The sequence below is a fragment of the Homo sapiens genome, chromosome 7 (genome assembly GCF_000001405.40).
Source record: "Homo sapiens chromosome 7, GRCh38.p14 Primary Assembly".
NCBI classification, from domain to species: Eukaryota; Metazoa; Chordata; class Mammalia; order Primates; family Hominidae; genus Homo; species Homo sapiens.
This window is the reverse complement of record NC_000007.14, coordinates 133,223,385-133,229,706: the sequence shown is the minus strand read 5'-3', so window position 1 is coordinate 133,229,706 and position 6,322 is coordinate 133,223,385.

Here is a 6,322-nt window from a genome sequence, read left to right as displayed (position 1 = left end):
GAAGCTGAACTAAGGTAGGCTAAATAATCAGTACCTTCCAATTTCCTGGGGTTGAGCTCTCCCTTGGAGAGCAGGTAACAGTTGGGGACAGAGTGATCCTCTTTTTTTAAAGCCACATTAGAGTCTCCAAGAAATGACAATGTTTCAGATGCATAAAAGGAAACATTCTGAAGCTAAATACCAGGAAACATCTATCAAAACACAAAAGAAGCGAAAAATTACTTTATAATATGCAGAAAAGTATGCATTTGAATGATCACCTTGAAAGAGTTTTGGGTAGGGGATGGAGGAATAACACATTTATAGATGTTATGCCAGAGGATGGGTGACTGCCATATTCTTCTATTAAATCTTCCCAGGAAAGGAGACTTTAGGGACTCAAAAGATGCTTGTGATGAGTTTATCTTACTTGCTTTTCTAGACTTTTGCTTTCAACGAAGCACCGTAGCTCTGACTGTTATATTCATCACCCATGTTAGGTGTCTGCTGCTATTTTTTGTTTCTTTGTTTTTTACGCATTCTTCTTGTGTTCTCGTCTTTCCAACTCCAGAGATAGCTAAGCATTTCCAAACTTATCTCCCTTGTGTACTTATATCCCCTGCATTCAATCCAGTTTTGTAAACCCAAGGTACAGTGATTCCCTACCACTTACCGAAGGGGATGTACCTTTCAGGAGCCCTTATGGGAGGTCCTATGTGGCCATTTAACACCATTTGTCAGCATTAGTTTCCAGCAAAGGATTAGACCACAGGTCTCTAAAGGGGGAGGTGAGGGTGAGATATTCCTCCTCATTCCTGAATGTGATGTTCCAGGGTTTGGGTAAAATGATCTACTGGTGTATGAGGAAAAAATAATAAAACAGTTATCTCTTTCTCTTAAAAGTGAAAGGAGTTCAACTTTAATATTTACTGTATGGATACACAAAGACAATCTCACTGGCATGCCAAGTGTCCTAGGAAGAGTGAGAATTCCATAGTGAGTTCGGATTGACAATGACCCCTGCTATAATTTGGATGTTTGACTCCTCCAAATCTCATGTTGTGATTTGATCCTAATGTTGGAGTTGGGGCTTAATGGGAAGTGTTTGGGTCATGGGAGTGGATCCCTCATGAAAAGATTAATGCCCTCCCTGTAGGGTGAGTGGGTGCAGTAAGTGAATTCTCACTTTTCATTCCCAGGAGAACTAGTTATTTTATTTTTTATTTTATTTTTATTTTTTCAGATGGAGTTTTGCTCTGTCTCCAGGCTGGAGTGCAGTGGCACAATCTCGGCTCATGGCAACCTCCGCCTCCCGGGTTCAAGCTATTCTCCCACCTCAGCCTCCTGAGTAGCTGGGACTACAGGCATGCATCACCACACCCAGCTAATTTTTGCATTTTTAGTAGAGATGGGGTTTCACCATGTTGGCTAGGGTGGTCTCAATCTCTTGACCTCATGATTCGCCCACCTCGGCCTCCCAAAGTGCTGGGATTACAGGTGTGAGCCACCACGCCCAGCCGAGAACTGGTTATTAAAAAGAGCCTGGTACCTCCCCCATCTGGCTCTCTTGATTTGCTCTCACCATCTGATCTCTGCACACACGGGTTCCCCTTGACTTTCCCTGTTTGTGGAAGCAGCATGAGGACCTCACCAGAAGCCAAGCAGATGCTGGGGCCGTGTTTCTCGTACAGCCTGCAGAACTGTGAGCCAAGCAAACCTCTTTTCTTTATAAATTAGCCAGCCTCAGATACTCCTTTGTGGCAACACAGACTCCCCCATTCTCATTCATTCTATTTCCTAGAATTGTGAAATATTGCTATTTGCATGTAAAAAGTTACATGGTTTTACAGATTAGGTTATTTAGTTTTAAAATATTCCTGCAGAGAGAGCATGAATTGAATTGAGTTTTAATAACACAAGCAAAAGGAAACAACAAGAAATTGGCAGAGCTGATAACTTTTTCTCTTTCTGGCATGAGCTCTCATTCAGGCACATTACAGGTTAAAACAGTGGTGAAGTAATAGAGCTGACACATTTCTCTTGCTTATGAAAAGTTTGTTCCCATTAAAAATAAAAAGGTTCATATCACAAATAAATGAAATAAAATGTATTTTAAAATATTGTTTATTGTGCCAGGTGCAGTGGCTGACACCAGTAATTCCAGCACTTTGGCAGGCCGAGGCGGGTGGATCACGACGTCAGGAGATCGAGACCATCCTGGCTAACATGATGAAACCCTGTCTCTACTAAAAATACAAAAATTAGCTGGGCGTGGTGGCAGGCTCCTGTAGTCCCAGCTACTCGGGAGGCTGAGGCAGGAGAATGATGTGAACCTGGGAGGCGGAGCTTGCAGTGAGCCAAGATCACACTGCTGCACTCCAGCCTGGGCGACAGAGCGAGACTCCATCTATAAAAAAAAAAAAATATATATATATATATATATATATATATATATATATGTTTATTTTCCCCTCAAAAATATTATAACCATATTACTAGAGTAGTGTGTGTATATAATATAAAGCTAACTACAAATCTTTTGCAATTATATGCTCAAGCAATTGTTACTGATAGGTGTATGCAAATAAAAAATTAGACAACTACTAGATGAGAGTCAGTGCTGTGCTAGAACGTGCCCCTACAGGCTTATGAGCACTGACTATTAAATTTTCAGGAATTTTTAAAATCTACCTATTAAACACAACTGATATGGTTTGGCTGTGTCCCCACTCAAATCTCATCTTGAATTGTAGCTCCCATAATTCCCACGTGTGGTGGAAGGGACCCAGTGGGAGGTAATTGAATCATGGGGGCGGGTCTTTCCTGTGATGATCTTGTGATAGAGAATAAGTCTCACAAGATCTGATAGTTTTATAAAGGGCAGTTCCCCTGTACACATCCCTTGCCTGCCTCCATGTAAGACTTGACTTTGCTCCTCCTTCACCCTCCAGCATGATTGTGAGGCCTCCCCAGCCACGTGGAACTGTGAGTCCATTAAACTTCTTTTCCTTTATAAATTACCCAGTCTAAGGTATGACTTTATTACCAGCATGAGAACAGGCTAATACAACAACTATTATTAAATTTTTAATTACATAAACTTATAATTACATATATTATGTTAAAAAAACAAAGGCAGGGCAGGGCGTGGTGGCTCATGCCTGTAATCCCAGCACTTTGGGAGGCTGAGGCGGGTGGATCACGAGGTCAGGAGATCGAGACCAGCCTGGCCAACATGGGGAAACCCCGTCTCTACTAAAAATACAAAAAAAAAAAAAAAATAGCCAGGCGTAGTGGCGGGCGCCGGTAGTCCCAGCTACTTGGGAGGCTGAGGCAGGAGAATGGCGTGAACCCGGGAAGCGGAGCTTGCAGTGAGCATAGATCACGCCACTGCACTCCAGCCTGGGTGACAGAGCAAGACTCCATCTCAAGAAAAAAACAAAACAAAACAAAAACAAAGGCAGTAAATATTCAAAACTTGGCATTTCCTAATTACTCTTCTTATTTTACTAATTCTATGCTCTTTAGGGTATTTATATCTATCTTATCTTTATGATGGTGTATTAGTTATCTATTGCTGTATAACAAATCATCCCAAAACTTAGCAGTTCAAAATCGCAAACATTAATTAACTTACACAGTTTCTAAGTCAGGAATCTGAGAGTAGCTTCACTAAGTGGTTTTAGCTCAGGATTTCTCATGAAACTACAGTCAAGTTGTCAGTGGGGGATGCAGCCATCTCAAGGCTTGACTGGAGCTAAAGATATGACTTCCACGAATATTAACTCATATGACTGTGGCTGGAGGCCACAGTTCCTTACTACATGAGCTTCTCCATCAGGTTTCTCAGAGCATGGCAGCTAACCTCCCTCAAAGTGAGTGATCTGAGAGAGAGAGACCAAGATAGAAGCTGCAGTGCCTTTTATAGCCTAACCTCGGAAGTAACATACAACCACTTCCACTATTTCCTACTGGTTATACGAAACAACCCTGGAACAACATGAGAGGGAAATAAATACTGAATACCAGGGCTCACATCTTAGAGGTTAACTAACATAGGGAAACATACAATAAAATGATGTGCTACTATATGTATCTTTCCAACTCCATATTCAGTGACATCACATTGATTGCCTGAACTTGGCCATGGTACAAGTATTTACACCACAAAAATCAGAAAATGCTACAAATCAAGTGGTTTTTGTCGTTTCTTTGTGCATTATTCATGTGCTTGTTTTTTGCCTGGGGAGCTGCTTTTGAAACACTTAGCAGCACCTCACTGATTAGAGTGCACCACCATGCTGCATTTGGTAAGGTGAGGGATGGGGATACCCATAGGTGACTGTGTGGTAGACAGAATGAGCTGAGAGTTAGTTTGGATGGGGGAGTTAAAGGTCCAACACAGAAGCAGCAAACCAAAATTGAGGTGGTAAGGGTGTGATTAAGTGTGGGACTGGTTCCCCAGTGCTTCTGAAAGAGGGCAGGGAAGACTGCAGATTGCCCCATGCTCATCATGAAAGTCTAGGATGAGGCCAGACTGGACAGACACTTAACCACGTAGGACATGGTGTGCACCCACCCTATAGGGAGCTAACAAATTGTATCTGAATTTTGACCTTGAGCTCATACTAGTGCACTAATCTGAGACTGACAGGAGTGATTTAAGATTGGGAAAGTGGCCGGGCACGGTGGCTCATGCCTGTAATCCCAACACTTTGGGAGGCCGAGGGGGGCAGATCACAAGGTCAGGAGTTCAAGACCAGCCTGGCCAATATGGTGAAACCCCATGTCTACTAAAAATACAAAAATTAGCTGGGTGTGGTGGCTTGGCCATAGTCCCAGTTACTTGGGAGGCTGAGGCAGGAGAATCACTTGAACCCGGGAGGCGAAAGTTGCAGTGAGCCAAGGTCGCGCCACTGCACTCCAGCCTGGGCGACAGAGCAAGACTCTGTCTCAAACAAACAAACAAACAAAAAAGATTGGGAAAACAAAACTTTGAAGCAATGGTTAAAGAAACAAGAAGATAAGTATTGTAGAGGAATAAGAGGTGATAGAAATGGATTTCTAGGTAACAAAAGGCTCATGCACAGAAAAGTAAGCAGGATAGTGACTGTAAAGATAAGAATTGGGATCCTTTTATGAGGTAATATCCATTTCAATCTGTTTTTAGTACTAACTGATGAATGTAGACTTGTTCAATCATCAATATGACACTCAAAATTCAATTAATAAGTGCTTATTCAGGGCCCACCATCTTCCACAAACTGGGCTGGGCTCCTGGGAATGCAGGCTGGAGTAGGGGTGGGGTGTAGGGTAAGAGAGCTATATTAAACAGTCTCTACTCTAGATGATATTACAGACTTTCAGGCCTAGTTTACAACATTTTAGGAAACTTCCTAGTTTTTTTTTCTGATAACAAAGATGTTGAAACTTAACATTTTTTTATTGTGATAAACTATATATAACATAAAACTTACCATCTCCACCATTTTTAAGTGTACAATTCAGTGGCATTAAGATATTCACAATGTTGTATAACCATCACCACTATCCATTTTCAGAACTTTTTCTCATCCCAAACAGAACCTCTGCACCCATTAAGTAATACCTCCTGCTGAAGAGATGTTGAAACTTCATATTTTGGATTGCTTTCTTTTTCTATTTGTTAATTCCTTCAGAGCCAGGACATTAGGCATTAAATATGAAGTCATCAAACCATTAACTAGTGTTAGTGAGTCCAAGATGGATTAAAATATTTTAAACTCAAATAGAAACAAGGCTTTGACCTACATGGTACAACTGCTGATAAAACTGAAAATGTAAAGATCAGTGAAAGAATGATGATATGGTTTGGCTGTGTCCCCACCCAAATCTCATCTTGAACTGTAGCTCCCATAATCCCCATGTGGGACCTGGTGGGAGGTAATTGAATCATGGGGACAGGTTTTTCCAGTGCTGTTCTCGTGATAGTGAATAAGTCTCATGAGATCTGATGGTTTTACAAAGGGCAGTTCCCCTGCATATGCTTTCTTGCCTGCCACCATGTAAGAGGTGCCTTTGCTCCTACTTCGCCTTCTGTCATGATTGTGAGGCCTCCTTAGTCATGTGGAACTTTGAGTCCATTAAAGCTCTTTTTCTTTATAAATTACCTAGTCTCGGGTATTTCTTCATAGCAGTATGAAAATGGACTATACAAATGGGTTGATCAATTTAGTTGCAGAATTTGGGAACCAACTGAATGCAACTGGTCCAGTAACAAAGACCAATCAGTTCTTGAATCAAAAAATTAGGTGGGCTTAAAGAAACTGTGAATCATAGCTGTAGCTTTTAGAATTTGGCCATC